The following is a 23,253-nucleotide window of genomic DNA, read 5'->3' on the forward strand; positions in this document are numbered from 1 at the left end:
TATTTGTTTCATTTTGTTTTGATGTGGTTTACAGTGCTCTAGTGTGATGATGAAGCTAACATCTGGTTATTCCAGGATTGGGGGTGTTGTGGGTGTGTTTCTATGTTGGGGAAGGCAGCAGGAACATCATCTTAACTCCTTTTCTTTATCCACATGATGAGGCTGCCTAAGACGGGGTTTATTAATCAACCTGATGCAATAGCTCTGTCATTAGTGCTCTTGTTATCAGGCAAGAAAAGGCTGTGTACAGGATGGGTATCAGTATGCTTCTGAGTGTTAGGGGAAAAAATGGAATGGTATTGTTAATATTTTAGCATTTAAGAGACTCTGGAACTTCAGGAATTATGTTAAAATTTCAGAAACAGAGTTTTAGAAGGGTGACTTGTTTGTTGATTGTACAATCCAAAAGAAAAAAGCAGGACTTTGTGGAATTCATAGTCAGTTTTCTGAAGCAGGTATCAGTAGTTGGCTTCTGAGACAAGGGCAGAAACACCATGTTGGCATAAAAGAGTTGATGAGTGGAACACCAAGTTGGTTGGCTCTGGTTGACATTTTCCTTGGTAGAATATGGTGTGTGAAAATTATACATATTTTTCAGAACAGGCCAAATACGTATGTTTTATGTCAAAACATAGGTCATGTGTTTCTGTTTTATCTGAGGGTTATCACAAAACTTTACCTTTTTGTAAAACTTAATCTGTGAATATTCAGTACTGAGAGCCACTTAGAGCATACTTCGTCTGACCCTTCTTTTAGGGCCCTATAATATAGGTAGGATTGGTATACAGAATATTTAGACATGATTCATTCTAAGCCATTTAGCTTTAACTGAACTGAATCAAATTGGACTTTAACTGAGTCTTTATCATTAAAAAAACTCTTATAAAAGATAAAGGATTGGGTTAGTTACTTCTCTCAGCTTTGGTTTATTTCTTTGTCTTCTTTTAAAAACAAAGCTTTATTCAAACGATTAACACGCTGTACAGCTCATCTTCTGAAATCTTACAATTCTATGATTTTAGTGTATTCACAGAGTTGTGCAACCATCACACTGTCTAATTCCAGTACGTGTTTCTCACTCCAATAGGAAACCTCATACTCATTAACACTCACTTCCCAGTTTCCCTCTCCCTGGTTCCTGGAAACCACTAATCTACTTTCTGCCTGGATTTGCCTATTCTGGACATTTCATATAAATGGAATTATACAGTATGTGACCTTTTGTGTCTGGCTTCTTTCACATTATCGTATAATGTTGTCAAGGTCATTTATGTTGTAGCATGTATCAGTACTTCATTCCTTTTTATGGCTGAGTAATATTCTATGATTTGGATATGCTAAATTTTGTTTATCCATTCATCAGTTGAAGGACATTTGAAATACTTCCAATTTTGGCTATTATGAGTAATGCTGCTATGAACATTTGTATATAAGATTTCACGTGGCCATATGTTTTCAATTTTCTTGGGTATATAACTAGGAAAGGAATTGCTAGGCCACATGGTAACTCTTTGTTTAACCCTTTGAGAGCCAACTTTAGTTTATTCATCTTGAAAATGAAGAAAACAATTTTTTTTTTTTTTTTTTTTTACATAGATCCAGGTTGTCAGATCCTTTAGGGTCACCACCAGGAAGATTATTTACAGTGAAGGACACTTTTTGAAAAGGTATAGGGGGCCTGAGTTAGAAGAGGGAATACCCAGTTGCAAGTGAATCCCAGGCTCAGAAGGGTCATACAGTCTCATGATTAAGGCCCTGATGCGTATGCAGTATGGGGTCGAACTGTTGGAGTTATAGTCTGTGCTCCTCCGCTTTCTCAGTGAACAAGTCAGTTAACCTCCTGATGTCTCTCTGTCCTAGGCAGTAAAATGGGGATCATCATGTCTTCCTACTTCAAAGGTTGTGGTAAAGATAAACGAAATAATACACATGGAAGTACTTTGTACATTGTCAAAACCAATGTAGATGATTGTTGTTGTGAAGATAGTATAATTGTATCTGATTAATTTTGTAATACAGGCCCAAGTCATTCAAAACAGCCAGGAATTAAACTTTTTATTTGTATAATTCAGATTTTATGAGAACAGCATAGAGACGCCTAGACACAGAGATGTATTATAAATAAAATATGTGTATGTAAAATAAACCAGCCGTCTCTTCTTCCTGCCCCATCTCTTCTTGTCTATCCCCATCCCCAATCCAAAATAAGCTGGGCTCCTGGTTGTAGTTCCCTGGGTGCTAAAAAGCAGGAAATACTCCCCAGACATTTGTGTACCCTTCCCATAGGGCTGTTTTGAAAATATGACAATTAGCAAAGTTATAGGTTAAATCGTCTATTGGGCATCATCCTTGAGTCATTGTTACTGCTTTTGTCTTAGAAATATGGCGTCCTTTACATGCACTTACTGCTTCTGTAGCACAAGGCAGCCGGAGCTCTCAGTCTGAGCAGGTAGACTCTCATTACCTTTTAGGGCTACAGGAGAGCTAGTGGGCATTCTGAAATTCTTCGCAAAGTGATAGTTCTCTCACTGGCCTTTGGTAGGAGCGTTTCTATGAGAAAATGTGTTTCAAGCATAGAATTTCGGGATGGCCAAAGATCTTAAAAGCCCTCTAGAGCTAACTCCTAGCTGATGTGGGAAAACTTTTAACAGTATCCCTGAAAGGCGATTCTTGAGTTTTGGTCAAGCACCTTTTGTGACAGGAAGTTTATTTTGTCTCATGATGTATGTACTCAGTAAAAATTTGATGTATAAACATATGGATAGAGTGTGGCAATATCTTTATTACATCTAACTCTACTAGAGAATTCATCCTTATATCTAATTGATAACTGTCTCCCTGTAATTCCTACTTTCATTCCCTTTAAAATAGTTTTAAAAATTATAAGCTGTTTTACAAACAACAGGAATATACAAAGAATAATTAAACACTTGTCCATGTGTTGAATATCTAAATGTTAGAAAACATTATTTTTAGTTTATTTTCCTCAGGTGAAAAAACAAAAGTTACCATTACAGATACAGTTGCAACCTTCTTAGTATCCTGCCCAGATCCCAGTCTTCTGACTGTCTTCCTATACTTAACTATTAAGTAGTTTCCCCAAAATGACCCAATGAGAAAAAAGGAGAGCCGGGATTTGAACGTTGGTCTTCATGGTTCAAAGCTATTGCTCTTTTCACAGTTCCACGCTACCCACCCTAGATAAATATGTATAATAGTGATCATATTTATTGTCTATGTGTAAATTGATGTAAAGTGTCAAGGGTTACTTAAAGCACTACTCTTCTGTTTTTCTATTTGCCATATTAACTTATTTTTAAAATATTTTTATTTTCAAGGAAGGTAAAGGTAAGAATTATCCACAGATATCAAATTAGTACAGTTAAAATTGTGGAAGTTTGATTATATTTGAAAAGAATGTGTCCATTAAGAAGATTAATCATTTTTTGTTAGTGAAGCTTTATTTTTAGGAGAAAGATTGGTAAACAATTAATATGTTTTCAAGTACATACATTATATGAGCTAGCTGGGGGGTCTGAATATGATGAAGCAAATGTCAAGCTGGGTTTTTTAAAGGCAGACTTGACAGTTGGTTGTGTTAATGGGGCATGACAGGCAACAGCTGGGTGGTAATCCTCCTCCTACTGTTGGCATTGATTGAGTCTTTATTTACGTTGTATTTCTAGTCTGGACTAGAACGTTATTCCAGGGGTGGAATGAAGAAATTAAGGAAAAAGAAGGGGAGAGCCATTAAGGTTTGGAAGAAACATTCTGAGACCAGAGTAAAGATGTTATATGTACTAGGAGAAAAAGGAAGAACAAAGATAGAAGCACTTCCCCTTGCTCAAGAATCTGCAGTGTTTTATTTCCTAAGCAATGCAGAGGTTATCAACATATAGGCCTGTTTGCCATGAGCTAGTAGGTTGCCGTGTGCATCTCAGGTATGTGTGTTTTTGTTTGTTAAAGCTTTTTTTTTCTTTTCCAAGTTTCCACATGCAGCGCTGATGTTTGTTAAAGCTGCAAGAAAACAAATAAGTAAAACGAAACCTAAGCAATACACAAAGAAAATAATCTTCCCAGTCAGCAGTTCCTGGCCCTCCCCACCCCCACTGCCCTCCTCCCCACCTCCACTTCCCTTCCCCTCACTCTTATCCAGATTGAGAGCCAGGATCCTGGAGGGGCAAACTCCAGGCTTCTCACCCTGGCTTTCAAGATCTCCTTGAGACGGCTTTTTATTTCCCCTCATCTCTGTGGCCTATTTCAGGACAGTATGTGCCCTTTGCTTTGGCCTGGTGGGCACACTGCCCTTTCGCTTATGTTCCACCTGCCTGGACTGCCTTGTGTTCTCCCCACTGCCTATCCAAGCTCAACTCATCCTTTGAGACAAGCTAAAGTGCCAATTCTCTGTGGTACCTTCTCTGGCCACCTCTCCTTCCTAATTTTTATAGTTTTTACTTTTTTTTTTTCTGAGACGGAGTCTTGCTCTGTCACCCAGGCTGGAGTGCAGTGGCATGATCTCCGCTCACTGCAACCTCTACTTTCCAGGTTCAAGCAATCATCATGCCTCAGCCACCTGAGTAGCTGGGACTACAGGCACATGCCACCACGCCCGGCTAATTTTTGTATTTTTAGTAGAGACGGAGTTTCACCATGTTGACCGGGCTGGTCTTGAACTCCTGACCTCATGCGATCTGCTCACCTGGGCCTCCCAAAGTGCTGGGATTACAGGCATAAGCCACCGTGCCTGGCCCAGTTTTTACTATTTGTACCGTTCATATTGTCCTTTATAATTTGTCATATACGATTGCATATTTGTTCAGAACTGTTGTAGAAAGTCCAGATTCTGCATGGTGTATTAAAATGAGTCTGTTAGAATAATTTATTTTACTTATAATCTTTTTATAAGGAGGAATGCTATTAGGTATGCTTTTTATCCTAAAACATCTACATAATCTTGTGTATCGATTAAGTTGTATTACTCCAATGAGAAATAAATCAGCAGGTTAATTACTCATCCATTCTTTAATTCAACAAATATTTATTGAGCACCAGCTATGTATCAGGCACCGTTCTGGGCACTGGTGACACAGCAGTGAACAAACTAAGAAAACATCCCACTTTTCTCAGGAAGTTTACATGCTGGTGGGGAGAGACAGACAAGAAACAAAATAAATAAGAAAATGTATTTTAGAAGGTGATAGTGCTACGGAATAAAAAACAATGAAGGGGGATTCGGAGAGCTGGGATGAGGCATGGGGTGCCTAAAGAGTATTCACTTCACCAAGAAGGTGACATTCAATCAAAGATGAAGAAGGTGAGGAGAGAATCGTGCACCTCCCTAGAGAAAGGGCAGCCAGGCAGAAGGGTCAACAAGTTCAAAGGCCTCGGAAAAGAAAGCTTCTCTTGCTTCCTGTTTTTGAGAAATAACAAAGAGAAACAGTGTAGCTACAGCAGAGAACAGGGAGAGAGTGGTAGGAAGAAGTAGAGGAGGTAATAGGAGAGGCAAGAAGAGGGTGTAGGGCCTCAGGCCTTGCAGTCTGGTGAAGGGACATCACCTTTCACTCTAAGTTAGATGGGAAGCCAGGGGGCTCTCCAGCAGAGGAGTAATCTGACGTATTTTGAAAGGGTCACTGTGGCTGCTGTGCTGAGAATAGACTACAAGGGAACAAGAGTGGGAGCAGGAACACCAGTTAAGGGGCTATTCAGATCATGTAAGGAAAAGATGGCAGTACTGTGGGTCAGGGTGGTAGAAATACCAGTGGCAGTAGTGGTAGTATAACATATATATAAAATATATATATAGTAGTATAATAGTATATATAATATAGTATTATATATTATATACATAATACAACAGCTACAACATATATATTATACTACCATATATGTTATTAATATATATACTATAATGTATAATATACATAGTAAGATTTACAGACAGATGATATGTAGGAGAGAGAATGAATCAAGAAATGATTCAAAGGTTTGGGCTCAAAAATCTGAAAATATTGAGTTGTTACAAATTGAAAAAAGGTGTAGTGAGGGAGGAGCATGTTTACTGGGAAAGATCAGGAGTTCAGTTTTAGATATCACAAGTATGTGATGTCTAAATTCAAGCAGAGATTTCTACTAGACAGTCAGATATCAATTGGAGTTCAGGGAAAAGATCAGGGTGGGCATGTAAACTTAGAAATGTAAGTGAACAAAACGTCATTTTTCTACGTATTCTAGAATAAGTGTTCTACCAAATATAGTTTATTTAGGACTATTAAAACAAACTTTTTTCATATTATTGGAAATCTATGAGAATAATACAGGTGAGCCAGCCCATATATAACAAAGCAAAACGTACAATGTTTATGGAATATTTTCCTGTTCATTGATTCCACAGATATTTAGGGAGTGCTTCCTGAGTACTATGCAACAAGAATACAAGGACACAAAATATGCCTTGTCAGCTCTCAAAACACTCTAGCCAGGTTGAGGTCATCGTAAACAGACTGTGACAGCACAATGGGATGAATGCTGTTGGAGAGGTCTCAGGTTGTTATGGAAGCTGTAGGAGTTTATGAAGATGTATTAGTTAGTCATTGACTTTTTCCTTGGGCAGCTTCAGACTAGTTGGAAAGATCAAACACACAAAAAGTCGCATAACTCTAAAAGATGTAAATAACCCTTGAAGATAACAAAAGCCACGTCATAAGGCAGCATATGAACACTTGTTGAATGTTAATATCTGCCTTAGAGTTCAAAAGAGGAAGAAGTCTTTCCAGGCTAGGGTAAGAGGAAAGGCTTTGCTTGGGTGGAATTTGGGAACACTCAAGTTGAATGATCTAAGCCAAGAGTTGAATATGTACGGCTAGATCTTGGGTGAGAAGACTCGGTTGGAGATTTGGGAATTGTTTCGAAGGTGAAAGTATAGCCCTAAAAGTGGATAAAACCTCCATGGATAAAAATGTGAAGAGAAAAAAAAGTAGAAGGCTAAGGACTTACCATCATTTAAATACCCACTTTCAGGAGCTGGCAAAAAACACAGAAAAGGATCCAGAGAGATAGAAGAACAAGATATCATGGAGGAAATAAGCATAAATGTCCAACAGAAATCTAGGATGCATAAGAATACCCTGGATTCATACACAGTTTTACTTCCGGTAAAACTTTTATGAAATTATTTTACCTGATAAAGGAATCTAAGTAGACAGCCAAAGCATGATTAAACACTTATCTAAACTCTGGCAGCCTGGCTCCCCTTGAGCAAAATGGAGGTGATATTAACTGGGTTATCACCTTGAAGAGCTTAGACCAGGAAAGGGCCTTAAAAATCACTAATTTTGGCCAGACGCGGTGGCTCATGCCTGTAATCCCAGCACTTTGGGAGGCCAAGGCGGGCGGATCTCAAGGTCAGGAGATCGAGACCATCCTGGCTAACGCTGTGAAACCCTGTCTCTACTAAAACAATGAAAAATTAGCCGGGCGCGGTGGCGGGCACCTGTAGTCCCAGCTACTCAGGAGGCTGAAGCAGGAGAATGGCTTGAACCCGGGAGGCAGAGGTTGCAGTGAGTTGAGATTGCACCACTGCACTCCAGCCTAGGCAACAGAGCAAGACTCTGTCTCAAAAAAAAAAAAAAATCACCAATTTTTAAAGCCATTTCATTTTTTAAGTGAGGACAGTTAGGCTTCTAGAGAAATGGTCTATAACATAGCTATTTAGTAAGAGAACTGGGAATGGAAAAGGATATTTTGAGTTGTTTTAACTTAGACTTTTTTCTTCACTGTCTCTAACTAAGCCTAGTTGGCATTCTCAAATTCTAAGAATTCAGATTTAGTGAAAATAGTTAAATGGATTTTAAATGTGTAGTTTTTTTTTTTTCAAATGGTAAATATTTGGGCTTGCCTATTTTGCCTATTTATAATCTAAATCTATTTGGGAGAATGCTTCACTCTAATTATGTCCTCCTGAGGCCACTTTATCCACTCAAACATTTTTTATTTTTCAAGGCAAAGTGCAAATTCAACTCCTAATGAAGCTTTCTCTGATCACCCCAGTAAGAACTGACTACTCTTTCTTACGGGCTCCCCCAGAGTCAACGCTTTTTAAACTCAGGCTGAAACTTATTAGTGGGTCATGAAATCCGTCGGGTGGGTCACTGGCAGAAAAAGAAATAGGAAATATCAGAGGACATCACACATAGTGATGGTGACAATTACTTTTTGAAACATTTACTTCAGTTAAGAGTGTATGCATATGTACTAGATGGCAACGTAACATATAAAAGTTGAAAAACACAGGTTTGGAGGATCATAATGTAAAACACATATCTTAACATATCATGGCCAGCTGTATGGCCACGTAGCTCTTTGAGGGTTGGGACATTCTTGATCTATATATCCCTCATGCCCAATGTCCTACCTGGTGAGTACTCAGGAGTTGTTGACCGGAATGATTATGAAGGTTTGAGAAGGAATTGGAAGAATGAAAAGCAGGTAGGTTGGGGAGGAAATGAGGGCTTGAATTAAGTGTAAATTTTGTAGTTTCCTTTATCTTGAATGTTAATATATATTTTTTCAACCTAATATTATTGCCACAAAGAACCCGTGTTTGTTATCTGTGCTCTGGGGTTGTCTCCCATCACCTTCAATGTAATGTGGTATAAATAATACTTCCTGCTAATGTTGCAGCTGTCACTCAAGGATCTTAAATTACTTTAGGAGCAAGATCTGGTGATGAGTGCCCGGCTCCACTTGGCAGGTGCCAGAGTTAAGAACCAGTGACTGCCTGAAATCTTTGTGCTCCAGGATGACGGCTCCCTCTCTGTCATCCTCCCACACTCTCTTCTGCCCATCCCTTCTTCCATGGAGGGAGGATACCTTGACCCTGCCTCTTTCTGAGCTTTGTAACTGGTAAATAGAGTCTGCAAAGATTCCGCTGAGCTAGAAGATTTGCTCTTTCTTTGCGGGTAGCTATGGTGTGTTTCGGGGGAAGGCTCATGGCAATAAAGGCTATTAGTTGAACTGCCTCAGAGCTCAAAAAGCTTGGGGCTGAAAACTGCAAAGGAACTCATTAGAAGTGAGCTCTGGATTATCAAAGGCAATTGAGACTCCTCTGGTTAGAAGCTCTTTAAGATTTGCACTGGACAGAAAGGGGATATTTGACATGCGGTTACCTTTGTGGGCCATTTTATGTACATGGTCTTTTCTATAGCAACCTTATTTCTTGCTTCTGGCCACACTCCTTTTGGTCTTATAGTCCAAATCAGCCACAAGTCATTTAAATACCCCCTCCCCACCCTCTATTTCCTTCTCTTCTTTGCAAACCCACTGTCACCTTGAATATCTCCCCTCCCCCTTTCCTGGAAGCTCTTGGGGGTCAGTCTCTCTTTTCCGAGAAGCTGTTAACTGCCTACAGTTGGGCCTGGGAGGCTCCAGGAGGGTGACAGCAGAGTCCTGGCTTGGAGTCGGGTTACACCACTTGTGTCTGAGTTCACGCAGCATGTTCCTCTGTCAGGGATTCCGCAAATATCTCCCTGAGGTAAAAAAGGAAAGTGTGCTGCGCTCCAGCACCCAGAGCAGTGAGCCCAGTCCCGAGTCCCGGAGAGAGCTCCAGCAATAGGGGCCATGTCGCCATAGCCCCAGCCTCTCGGTCCGCAGCCTCAGCAGCGTCCCAGCCGGCTGGCTTCATGCTGCGGTGCAGCTGCACCATGTTCCTGGGTTGAGGGGGCAATCGGGCACGCTCCTCCCCATGGGTTGCCCATCATGTCTAATGGATATCGCACTCTGTCCCAGCACCTCAATGACCTGAAGAAGGAGAACTTCAGCCTCAAGCTGCTCATCTACTTCCTGGAGGAGCGCATGCAACAGAAGTATGAGGCCAGCCGGGAGGACATCTACAAGCGGGTGAGTGCAGGGGCCCGCTTCTCCGAGGCAGGGGCAGGGGCAGGGGACGGTTTGGCCTGCCAGTTGGTCGCTATTCTAGGCTCTTCCTAGCTGGCGCTGTGCTAGTCAGCGAGAGAGGTGGGGTTTCGTCCAGCTCTGGTCACCTTAACAACCTGTGACCTTGGACAAGCTCATTTCACCTCTCTGGTGCCTGCTTTCTGCTTTCCTTCTCTGTAAAGAAAGAGGACTGGAATAAATCAGAGCCGCTCTCAAACACTGACGTGGAACTGTGCGGAACAATCACCTTGGGAGCTGGTTTAAAATGTAGATTCCATGCCTCACCCTAGGGATTCCGATGTAGTAATGTGGGGGAAGGTGGGGGGAGAGGGTGGGGCTGGGGTGGATATTTGCATTTTTAAAATTTATTTATTTTAGAAACAGGTCTTGCCCTGTTGCTCAGGCTGGAGTGCAGTGTCACCATCATAGCACTGCAGCCACCAACTCTTGGGCTCAAGTGATGCCTTCTGGCTCAGCCTCCTGAGCAGCTGGGACCACAGGCACAGGACACCAGGCCCAGATAATTAAAAACAAAAAAAATTGGCAGGGCACAGTGGCTCATGCCTGTAATCCCAGCACTTTGGGAAGCCAAGGAAGACAGAAGGCTTGAGGTCAGGAGATCGAGACCAGCCTGGCCAACATGGTGAAACTCCATCTCTACTTAAAAAGTACAAAAATTAGCGGGTGTGGTGGCATATGCCTGTAGTCCAAGCTACTTGGGAGGCTGAGGCAGGAGAATTGCTTGAACCCAGGAGGCGGAGGTTGCGGTGAGACGGGATTGTGCCGCTACACTCCAGCCTAGGTGACAGAGCAAGAGTCTGTCTCAAAAAAAAAAAAAAAAATTCGTACCAAAGGGGTGGCACTATGTTGTCCAGGCTGGTCTCAAACTCCTGGCCTTTAGATCCTCCCACCTCAGCCTCCACTGTTGTTGGTATTATAGGCATGAGCCACTTTGCCTGGGAAAATATGCATTTTTAAGCAAGATCCCTGAGGTGGCTCTGAAGCAGATCATCTCCAGGTCATACCTCTCCTAGAGAAAGTGCCCTCCTAGCTCCGGCTTGGTGGGGCAGAGAATGATGCTATGGAGAAAAGGGCAGGGGCTAAGGGTGTTTCCGTTCCTTGAGAAATTCATGTTTGCTTTTGAAGATGACTATGCAGATAAGCTTTTAGGACAGAATCTTAGGCATTTTTAGTCTTTGGAATAGCTTGCCTTAAAATGAAGAAGAGAGTAACCTGTGGGATAGCAGTTGGCCTGGGTGGAGTGGGAGGGGAAATGGCCTCTTCCTTGGATGAGAGGGCTATCTTGATTGATGGGTCAGTGATCAGGGTGGGGAAGGAAGACCTACTGGATTGGCTGAGCTGTGGGTGAGATAGGACAGCACCTTGATAAGAGGACATTGGGCTATGGGTTATGAGGATTAAGCCTCGTAGCTGGTCACCACAATATTGGTTTCCTCAGCCCTCTCTGTGTCTGGACAAGCAGGACCTGAAGTGGCCCAAGTGACCGGGGACTGGTTGCCTCTGACCTTATCAGAGATTCTAACTCTCCAACTGTTTACCCCAGAGGACTATACAAATACCATTTTCTATGTGTGCTCTGTCCTGTCAAGAGGATGGATGACTGGGAAGCGATACAGGCTGCTAGATAACATCTTGGATCAGGGAAATAGCTGGTGTCTATGAGACCCAAATGATTATTTAGTTAATTCAATTAATGTGTATAGCTAAATCTGGGGGATTTAACTCTATTTCCTGTCTCTCCTGCATTTCCATGTTTTAAGTCCAAATTTTCCAGAAGTTGGTCCAGATTCACCTTTTATCTTTTACGTGGCTATGTAATGAGTGTGCCTCATTGGAGCTGCCACGTGTCAAGAAGGATATTGCCAAGTGAGGGTTGGTAACAGAGAGATGGCGAGAGACGGAGGATGAGTGGGAGGTTTTGCCTTAGGGTTAGGGTAGGAATAGTGGATGGATGTATTCACTGTGCAGAGGGAGGAACTTTCCCCATTAACTGTCTTCAGGGCAAAGAAGGAAAGGACAATTTCTTAGGTAATTTGAGGGAAAGGATTTTGTTGTTGTTGTTGTTGTTCTGAGACAGAGTCTCACTCTGTCGCCCAGGCTAGAGTGCAGTGGCACGATCTCAGCTCACTGCAACCTCCGCCTCCTGGGTTCAAGCGATTCTCTGGAGTAGCTGGGACTACAGACGCCTGCTACCACACCTGGCTAATTTTTGTATTTTTAATAGAGGCGGGGTTTTACCATGTTGGCCAGGCTGGTCTCAAACTCCTGACCTCAGGCGATCCACCCGCCTCAGCCTCCCAAAGTACTGGGATTACAGGCGTGAGCCACTGCGCCCCACCAGGATTTTTTTTTTTTTAAAGCTGAATCAGATGGCTGTCTGAATCATTTGGTCTCACTCTCTGCTCTGCCCTAGCGAAAGATCTTTAGGAAACAACTTTGGGTGGGGTGTGAGAAGGCACCATTTCTCACCTGGAGAAGTGTGATAAATGAGATTATAGGAGCTGCACAAGGTGTATGTGGGGGGAGTGGAACACAGCCTGTTGTCACATGCAGAGAGGACAACCCTTTTGCTAGACTCTAGTATTGCCATGGGTCCCATACAGGAAGTAGATATGGCCCTGTCTCTATCTAGTCTTACGTGTTAGCAGAGTTGTCAGGCAGCTACTGCATCATATGATTTGAGGGATCTCAAACTACTGTATCCCCTCCTCTTCCTTCTCACCAAATGTTTGTTCAATCTGCCTGTCATATTAATTTTCTCATTTGGCTATGATTATTTGAAAAGCGCTAAAGGCTTGTGCTAAAATGTTCTTATTACTTGGGAAACAGAACACATAAAGCCATTATCAATCATTCAGAGTTGAAATTAGTTTACCACACTATGTCATGATGAGTGATTGATAGGAACTAGAGCCGTTCTGGTTTATTTTATTTTTTGAGACAGGGTCTCGCTCTGTCACCCAGGCTAGAGTGCAGTGGCACCGTCACGACTCACTGCAGCCTTGACCTCCTGGGCTCAAATGATCCTCCCACCCCAGCCTCCCAAGTAGCTGGGACCACAGGTGTGCCACCACACCTGGCTAATTATTTATATATATATGTGTGTGTGTGTGTGTGTGTGTGTGTATGTATTTTTTTTTTTTTTTTTTTTGGCAGAGATTGAGGTCTCACTCACTATGTTGCCCAGGCTGGTCTCAAATTCCTGGGCTCAAGTGATCTTCCCACCTTGGCCTCCTAAATTGCTGGGATTACAGGCATGAGCCACCACACCCAGCCACAGTTCTGTTTTGATGTAAGAACGAGGGATTCGGAAAACACTGCATTAAGACCTATTGTCAACAAGGAGACTTAGTTAGGCAAGTTACTTAGCCTCTCTGAGCCTGTTCCAGCCTCTATAGGATTGACATTAACAATAATGCTACAGATACTGAGAATTATTTTTCTATGAATAAATAGCAGCCATGAAGATGAAATAAGAAACATATCAAAACACTTTATAAACTTAATAACATCACATATATATGAGAGGGTAGTAGTTATATTTCTACTAGTAGTTATAGTTATAAAATTTAAATATGGGGACAAGGTTTGACTCTTTATAATCTCCCCCTCATAATTCCCACAGATGTGTCTTATGTTCATTCTTGTTATTCATATTGTGATCCCACGAGATTAGGAAGATTAATTAGCAGCAATGTGCCCAGCATCACATGGTAAATCAGGTGGTTCAGAGGATAATTTAGAGTACTGTTCTGTTACCAAACTTAGTAACAGAAGTTTGATTTTTCTGTTGCTAAGAAACAGAATTTTCTTGATTCTGATTTTTTTCTTTAGCGTTGGAAGGACACTTCTTTAAAAAAAATATTGTAAAAACATTAAATCAAACTCTACTGAGTTAGAATCTGCAATAATTTGAGTGCTGTATGCGTGGTTCTTTTTAAGAAAACCAATGCTTGTGAAACATATGTAATGGAAAGTCTATTGTGAGTAGTAATTATTTTATTGATGTGCATATTTATGCTACCGGGAATTTTTGTTGAGCTGTTTGTACTTAAGAGTGAAAAATTACTCTTAGCGAGAAACAATAAAGTATTTGATTGGCTTCAGGGAAGGGAAATACGGGCAACTTTGGGAGAAGAGAACTGGAGAGTGGGTGCTATCTTTCTCTTTCCAAGTGGCAAGTCTTCTCCTAGGTAGCTGATTGAGGAGACTAAAATAGATATAATCCTTACTTGTAAATGGAAGCTATAAGGATTTTAAATTATAAGAGGAGTTGTCAAAGCTAGAGAGTTATGTTAAAAACCTAAGAGTATCAACCTCAAAGCAAGTAAATAAAAAAGAAGGAGTTTCTCTCTTTTAAGCTGTTCAGAGAATTAAGAAATAATCTTAAGAATCATCCTGGCCATGGATTAATAAAATAATATTAATTCATACATAAAAATTGGTTTCTTGAGACTGGCTACTTTTTTGTTGAGTGTTTATCCTGTAAGCTTCAATTTTTGTAAATCATCATAATAAATTTTTTAAAAAGGAAGAGGCTGCTTACCCTCTGTACCGACAGAGTGGGACATATGCCTACATGACCAGGCACTGCTACCCCCTTTTGGTAGCAAACATTAATTTTAAGTTCAGCTTTTAGGGAAGACAATTTTAAACATATAAAGCAAGCAAAGGAGAAATCATTGCAGTACACTGACTCTGAAGCAAAATAAAGTGAGAAAATGTTGTGAGTGGTCCACAGCTGAGTATGGCCCACTCCTAGGGAGACTGGCTTGTTAGCATTTCTGGACTGCAGCTGCTGTGGTAAGTAATTTTTGGGTGGCAACTTGGCTGACTTCCTCATTGTTGATTGCCTAATCCTGCATTTTCTCATATTAGTCAAGTGTGTCGCTACTGGAATCTTGTCTGACCCTGGAATTTATGAAATCCACTGCTGTGTGGTAAACACCCAGTCTCCAAACAGCACACAAAACCATCATCCACTGGGTTTTGCCCCCTGATGACTACTTGTTCAACTTGTGTGAATTAAGTTTCCATTCTAAGAATGAAATTGAAAAACTGACAAGGCCAGATCTGATAGCAAAAGGGTCAGGAGAAATAAAATGTTGTCGTCCTTGACCAGATAGAGTCAATGTTTAAATATGATGTAATGATATTGGAAGGTTAAAGTGGACTTAGCCCTTAGATATGAGTTGAGAGAGTTGTGTTGCGTTGTTTTATGACCCTTAAGCTGCCTGACTTCTTTGAGATTGAAACTTCTTTGGTTTTCTCATCTTTGAGATTGGATGATACTTTTCCTGCGCAATCTTTGAGGTTTATGCATAGCATACTTCTATAGCTATGGTAAACAGCCTACTGATTTTACTTGCCTACCAAATTGTCATTGTTTTTACTATTCTGTTATTGCTGGGCATAACGGCTAAGAGCTATAAATTGGCGAGACCTGGGGTGAAATCTTGATTTTTCTACTTACTATTTGTGTTGGGAAAAATACCATAATTTCTCTGAGCTAAAGCAAGGGCAGTAATAACACCTATCTTACAGGGTCTAGAGGAGGATGAAATGAGTCAATTAGCTGAACTCAGCATAATGCCTATCACATAGTAAGCTCTCAATAAATATTTGCCATTATTGTGACAAATTGAGAGACGGCAAACTTATCCGGATAAGTCTTAATTACTGACACATTCATGCTGGACTATTTTTTATTCCAAATCAGTTTCTTTTTCCTCAATAGTGGACTTGGGACCATTTGTCCTATTTGTCTCAATTCTCAATTGTTGTTTGCTTGTGTGTAAATAACATAATATAATCCAAGTGTCCCTATTGCATCAAATTTACCTTGGCATTCTCAGATACAAATGTTCATTCAAAGAAAATAAATAAGAAAGGCTGGGTTGATTAAATTTCTTTTTGGCTCATTGACTGATTTTCTTTGGTCCTAGCCTGATTTCTTTAGGCTTTGGGCAACATGATGAGGAACAATATACCTGCAGACTTACAAGGAAGCTCAGGAACTCCATCAGGCGGTAGGATTTAGGAAGCTGGACTTGAACCAAAGGAAGGCTATTAGAGAAGGATGAGTATCTTGGGGGGTTATCAAAAATGTTGTGATAAAAGTTTTGAACTCTAAGGAAACCTGAATTCTTAACCTGCCTTTTCTAGCTACATGATCTTGGCCAAGTCACTTAACTTCTGTGAACCTTAGTTTCCTAAATTAGAGTCATCAATTCCTGTCGTGCTCTTCTCCCCCATGGGTAAACATGTTTTAGTGTATTAGACGTTAGATAAATAGAAAGGATTGTGATTTCTATCCTGCATAGCTGGAGACACATACTAGAAAGCATGCACCTGCTCAGGTTATTGTCTAAAGTGGCTGTGTGGCTGCTGTTGCCAGAATTAATGCTTGTCTTCTTATATGTAGCAGAGTTTGCTCTTCTTTTACAGTTGGATGCCTTATTTAATTAGTGGCTATGTTTTTTTCTCCTATGTTTTACTTACACGAACTTTAAGAAATGTGGATGATGGGAAAGGAGGAACATAAGAGACAGACAAGATTACATTAGCCAAACTATTTTTAAATGGTTCTCTGGAAGCCTAGTATGAACATGGTCCATGTGTGTCTGTGTCTACGCACACTGTGTGTGCCAATTCCCCATTCTCAGCCTTCTGAGGTTCGTGAGGTCATGCTTACCTATTTCTTCTTTCAGGGAATGAAAGTTGGCAGAAATAGAGGGAATCCATCCATTAAATATTTGTAACCAATATTTATGATTTTGGTTAAATATTTTTTTAAACTTCACACTCATTAGGATGGCTATTATACTAAAAATCAAACAACCCAGAAAATAACAAATACTAGTAAAGATGTGGAGAAATTGGAACCCTTGCACATTGCTAGAAAGAATGTGAAATGGTGCAGGTGCTGTGAAAACCAGTATGGAGTTTCTCAAAAAATTAAACATAGACTTACCGTATAATCCAGCAATTCTACTCTGGGTATAACACAAAATAAATGAAAACAGGAACTCAAATAGATATTTGTATTTCTGTGTTCATAGGAGCATTGTTTACAGTAGCCAACAGGTGGAAGCAACTCAAGTGTTCATTGACAAATGAGTGGATAAACAAAATGTGGGCTATATAGACACTGGATATTATTTAGCCTTAGAAAGGTATGAAACTCTGACATGTGCTGTAACATGAGTGAACCTTAAAGATGTCATGCTAAGTAAAGTCAGTCCCTAAAGGACAAATATTTATTATTTCACTTAAATGAAGTACCTAGAGTAGTCAAATAATGAAGACAGAAAGTGGAACTATGGTTGCCAGGGGTTGTGGGGAGGAGGGAATGGGGAGTTAGTGGCTACAGTTTCATTTGGGAAAAAGTTCTGGAGATGGATAGTGATATTTGAACAACTATGTGAATGTACTTAATGCCATAGAACTATATACTTTAAAATAGTTAAAATGGCAAATTTTATTATATGTATATTTTAACACACACACACAAAATGTTTAGGCCTGGCATGTTGGCGCATGTCAGTAATCCCAGCACTTCGCAAGGCCAAGGTGGGAGGATCACTTGAGCCCAGGAGTTTGAGACCAGCCTGGGAAACATAGCAAGACTGCATCTCTGTAAATTTTTTTTTTTTTTAATTAGCTGACATAGTGGTGTGTGGCTGTGATACCAGCTACTTGGGAGGCTGAGGTGGGAGGATTGCTTGAGCCCAGAAGGTTGAGGCTGCAGTGAGCCATGATTGTGCTCCTGCATTCTAGCCTGGGTGACAGAGTGAGACCCCATCTCACACATACACACAGAAAAAAAAATGCTTAAAGCAACTTTCCCCAAAAAGTCAGTTGCTTATAAAAATAGTGGAACTCTTAACCAAAGGCAACTCTGTTTTCTGCTTTTCCTTAACACAACTTATCTCATTTTTTCAGAGCTTTTAATTAGAATTCATAATACTTGCCTGTTGAGAAATGCTTCTTCCCTTTGAATACTTAGGAATTTTTCTTTCAACCACTGGAAAACAAATCCCAGACTAAATTCTGGGCCCTAATTTAATTCTAATCCACTTTCAGTTATCCCCCTAACAATGTCTACATAATTTATACTTCTGCATGAACTTATTACAAGGCCACTTCTTTCTATAGTGTATGTACATTCAGGTTTATGCACTGATAGAAGTAGCATGTTACACTTGAAAAAAATAGACATTCTAAATTTCTGTCTCAAATGTTTCCCTTGTTTGCAATATCATTTTAGTCATTTTTTTGCTCATATTTGCACATATGCATTGGTATATTCAGTCGAATGTCTATTGATTATCTACTATATGCCAGCTACTGTGCTAGATTCTGGTGGAGAAGACATCAACAAATAAATAAAAATGGTATAATAAGGGCTACCATAGAGGTATGGACAGATTATGCTATAGTGCAATAAAATCCACCAGGAAAGGCCTTGCCAAGTGTTTGAAGTTTGCATTGAATCCTAAAAGGTAGTAACATAACAAGAAATGGGAAAAGGCATTTCTTTTTTCTTCTTTTTTTTTTTTTTTTTTGAGATGGAGTCTCACTTTGTGGCCCAGGCTGGAGTGCAGTGGCGCCATCTTGGCTTGCTGCAATCTCCACCTCCCAGGTTCAAGCGATTCTCCTGCCCCAGCCTCCTGAGTAGCTGGGATTACAGATGCTGTGAAACATACGCTAATTTTTCATATTTTTAGTAGAGACGGGTTTTCACCACGTTAGCCAGGCTGGTCTCAATCTCTTGACCTCGTGATCCACCCACTTCGGCCTCCCAAAGTGCTGAGATTACAGGCATGAGCCACCATGCCTGGAAAATCCAGAAATTCTTTTTTTTTTTCTTTGAGACAGAGTCTTGCTCTGTCAGCCAGGCTGGAGTGCAGTGGCATGATCTCGGCTCACTGCAACCTCCGTCTCCTGGGCTCAAGCGATTCTCCTGCCTTAGCCTCCCAAGTAGCTGGGATTACAGGCGTGTGTCACCATGCCCGGCTAATTTTTGTATTTTTAGTAGAGATGGGGTTTCGCCATGCTGGCCAGGGTGGTCTCAAACTCCTTACCTCAGGTAATCCACCCACCTCGGCCTCCCAAAGTGCTGGGATTATACGTGTGAGCCACCGCGCCTGGTGGGAAAAGGCATTTCAAACAGAAGAAACAATATACAAAAGCAGAGGTGTACAAAAGCAATGTGCACTTGGCACACTGGAATCATTCTGTATGGCTAGATCATGTGGTTTGGAGGGCTTGTGGTGGTGGTAAGATGAGGCTGCAGGGGAGAAATCATGGAAAGCTTTGGACTTATCCATTCATTCATTAATAAACATTAATTAGGTACCTGCTATGTTCCAAGTACTAGAAGTTGGGACTTCAAAGATGAGCAAACCACAGGTGCTAGAGTATAGTAAAAGGCAGTAACAGAGCTGTGTACAAAGTGTAAGGAAACTCAAAGGGGGCACTTCTATCCCAAATGAATAGAGTGGATGGAAAGAAAATCTGCAAAGGATTATTCGTGATGACCCCTGAACTTCGTCTTCAAAGGGGAATAAGCACTAATCAGTCAATGGATGATGAAGTGGAAGGACAGAGTTTTTGTCACAAGCAAAAGCCTTGAGGCAAGAAACCATAGGGTGCTTGCACAGAATTAGAAGTGGTTTAGTGTTGGTGGATTTAAGTACTAGGCGAAGAATGAGACTGATATGACGGACACAGTCTTTTGTGCCATTTTAAAGATTGTAGACTTTATCCTGAGGAAGACAAGGCACCACTGATGGGCTTTAAGCTGCAGGGAACCTGCTAGATCCCTCTGATGCATGGGAAAGGTGGATTCAAGAGAGTCAAGGCAGGAAGTGAGTGAGAACAGACTTGCCAAGCCAAAGAAGATGAAGGCCCGAATGAGGGCTGTGGCAGTAGGAATAGAGGGGAGGCAACTCATCTTTAAAATATTTAAGAGGTAAAATATTTGTAGGACTTGATGATTGATCAGGATGGGAGAATTGAGGGAAAGGAATCAAGAGGAAGGCCAGGCTAAGGCAAGTCACTTTTTCTGGGCTTCTGGTTCTTTGTGTTTAAATGAGTGGGCTGGACCAGGATTGACGCACACATCCCTCCCAGTTCTGAAGTCCCGTGATTCTGGGCAGCCTTTCTCTGGGCGCAGAGAAAGGAAGCTCTATGATACATGGGTGTTCTCACCACAGCTTAGATAGTTGCTTAAAAGAGACTCATAGTTTCTCAGCTTCTCTGACAGCTTCTCAGGATGGGAGGTGGCAGGCAGAGCTGAGATGGCTTTAGAACTGCCAGCCAATGCAGGGAAATCTAGTGCGGTTACCAGGTAGCCGGAGTTATAATTAGCCTCGTTGCTAGGGCAAGGCTGAGATTCTGTAAGCATGGACTGCCAGCAACAGCTTTTCCCTGCTGGGTGAATTTACTTGTTTGAAAGAACAAAGTGGGTATGGATGGGGTGTTTTTAAATGTGTTTTAGATAATTTAAATTTTGCCCTAGGTATAGGATATGTTTAAAGCAGAAAACAGGTTTGTGTTGGGGCTGATCAACATCTTGCCTGGGGCAGAAGGAGTGAGGAAAAATTCCACTCTGTTATATGTTTGGATAGCTGGAAAGAGACTTACTTTCACCTGAAGGAAGATAAGTAAGAACATAAAATCATTATTCAGAGGTAGAGAGGATCTTGAAGATAATCTACATAATCCTTTCACTTTTTAAGAAAACCATTTATTTAAAAATAATTTTAGACTTATAGCAAAGTTATAAAAATAGTACAGAGTGTTCCCATATGCCATTCACTCAGCTTCCTCTAAAGAATAAACCCTTCATTTTAAAGATAAGATGACTAAAGCTCAGAATAGTAATTTGCCTAACGTCACACGGTAAATTAGTAGCCAAGCTGAGACTAGAATCCAGGAGCCCTAACTACCTGTTCAGGCTGCTTACAATGACCTCTGGGACCTTCAACAAAAATTCAAGAAATGTAAGTGCTTGTCAGAACTTAGTTTTTCTTTCTTTTTGCATTACTGGGCTAAAATAGAACTCACACAGCAGGAGCTAGAGTAATTACAGAGAGATGAATCTGCACTCTGTGCCTACTGCCAAAAGAAAAGGTTTAGTTCCTCAGCCTCCTCAGGAGTTTCATCCATATGTTTTCAAAAGTCACCGTGAACATATTTTTCTCTTTTGCCTTGCTCCCTGCTCTGGCTTTTGCCATCTCATCTGATCAAGTTCAACTGCACAGAGAGAGGAGGCTCTATGATACATGGAGTAGGCACAGAGCGAGGCTGGTGCAAACTGGAAAGGGGCCCGCCCTATCATGTTCAATAGCAGCTAATCCACCCACACACCGACAGCAGTGATCCGACTTGGTACATGCCGTTCTGTGGAGAGCTAAGTAATAGTCATGTGGCTTTTTGCCAAGCAACTTTAGAAGTGACATTGGGCCACAGTGGGCAGTTACTATCCCTGTTATTTAGAAACTTGGCTTGATGAAGTGGGGAGTGAATGCAAGGCACAAGCTGCATTGTAATGCCAGCTTTTCATATCCCAGCCTCATGTAAGCCCTGCTGCTGCAAAGGGCTACAAGCCACCTCTTCATGCACACAGGGCTTTAGAAAGCCCACCCAGAGGCTTGGGAAGAGGAAGCCCTTCTTTAAGGTGCCTGGATGAGCGGCAGGGAGGCTGCCAGCATGATGGCTATGATCTGGAGCTGCAGAAAGAGGGTCTAGGCACTGGTCAAGGGCCTGAAGTCAGCCAGTTCTTTCAGGTCACTTTTTCTTGGTAAGTCTCAGATCTTCTCCCTGAGACCACACAGGTAGCTTCCTCTATCAGAGTTACTCCGTGAGACCTCACACTCCAGATTCTTATCAGTCAAGCTCAGTATCTGCTCAACACAAAAGTAAATCTAGTCTTGCCCACTGTGAACTCCGAAAATTTGAGACAGGTCTCAGTAAATTTAGAAAGTTTATTTTGCCAAGGTTGAGGACACATGCCCCTGGCATAGCCTCAGGAAGTCTTTATGACATGTGACCAAGGTGTTTGGGGCACAGCTTGGTTTTGTACATTCTAGGGAGACATGAGACATCAATCAATGTATGTAAGAAGTACCTTGGTTCGGTCTGGAAAGGCGGGACAACTTGAAGCAAAGGCAGGAAAACTTGCAGTGGGGGAGGCGGCTTCTAGGTCACAGAAGAGAGACAAAAGGTTGCATTCTTTTGAGTTTCTAATTAGCCTTTCCAAAGGAGGCAATCAGATATGCATTTATCTCAGTGAGCAGAGAGATAACTTTGAATAGAATGGGAGGCAGGTTTGCCCTAAACAGTTTCCAGCTTGAGTTTTCCTTTTATTTTTTGTATTTTCATTTCCATAGGTTATTGGGGAACAGATGGTGTTTGGTTACATGAGTAATTTCTTTAGTGGTGATTTGTGAGATTTTGGTGCACCCATCACCCAAGCAGTATATACTGCACCCTATTTGTGATCTTTTATCCCTCACCCACTTCCCACCCTTTCCCCTTGAGTCCCCAAAGTCCACTGTGTCATTCTTATGCCTTTGTATCCTTATAGCTTAGCTCCCACTTATGAGTGAGAACATACAATGTTTGGTTTTCCTTTCCTGCCTTACTTCACTTAGAATGATAGTCTCCAATCTCATCCAGATCATTGTGAATGCGTTAATTTATTCCTTTTATTGGCTGAGTAGTATTCTATCTCATATATATATATATATATATATATATATATATATATATATATCCATCATATATATATATATGTGTGTGTATACACACCACAGTTACTTTATCCACTCATTGATTGGTGGGCACTTGGGTTGGTTCCACGTTTTTGCAGTTGTGAACTGTGCTGCTATACGTATGCGTGTTCAAGTATCTTTTTTGTATAATGACTTCTTTTCCTCTAGGTAGATACCCTGTAGTGGGATTGCTGGATCAAATGGTAGTTCTACTTTTAGTTTTTTAAGGAATCTCCACATTGTTTTCCATAGTGGCTGTACTAGTTTACATTCCCACAAGCAGTGTAGAAGTGTTCCCTGTTCACTGCATCCACATCCATATCTACTATTTTTTTATTTTTTTGATTATGGCCAGTCTTGCAGGAGTAAGGTGGTATCACATTGTGGTTTTGATTTGCATTTCCCTGATTATTAGCGATGTTGAGCCTTTTTTCATATGTTTGTTGGCCATTTGTATATCTTCTTTTGAGAACTGTCTATTCATGTCCTTAGCCCACTTTATGATGGGATTGTTTGTTTT

The 23,253-nt window shown here is 41.1% G+C and overlaps 1 pseudogene; it reads left to right on the forward strand.

Annotated features, from left to right (window-relative positions):
- Positions 1 to 23,253, forward strand: part of LOC100996723 (uncharacterized) — a 123,106-nt pseudogene that overhangs the window by 71,129 nt on the left and 28,724 nt on the right.

The sequence above is a fragment of the Homo sapiens genome, chromosome 1, assembly GCF_000001405.40.
Source record: "Homo sapiens chromosome 1, GRCh38.p14 Primary Assembly".
Taxonomy (NCBI): Eukaryota; Metazoa; Chordata; class Mammalia; order Primates; family Hominidae; genus Homo; species Homo sapiens.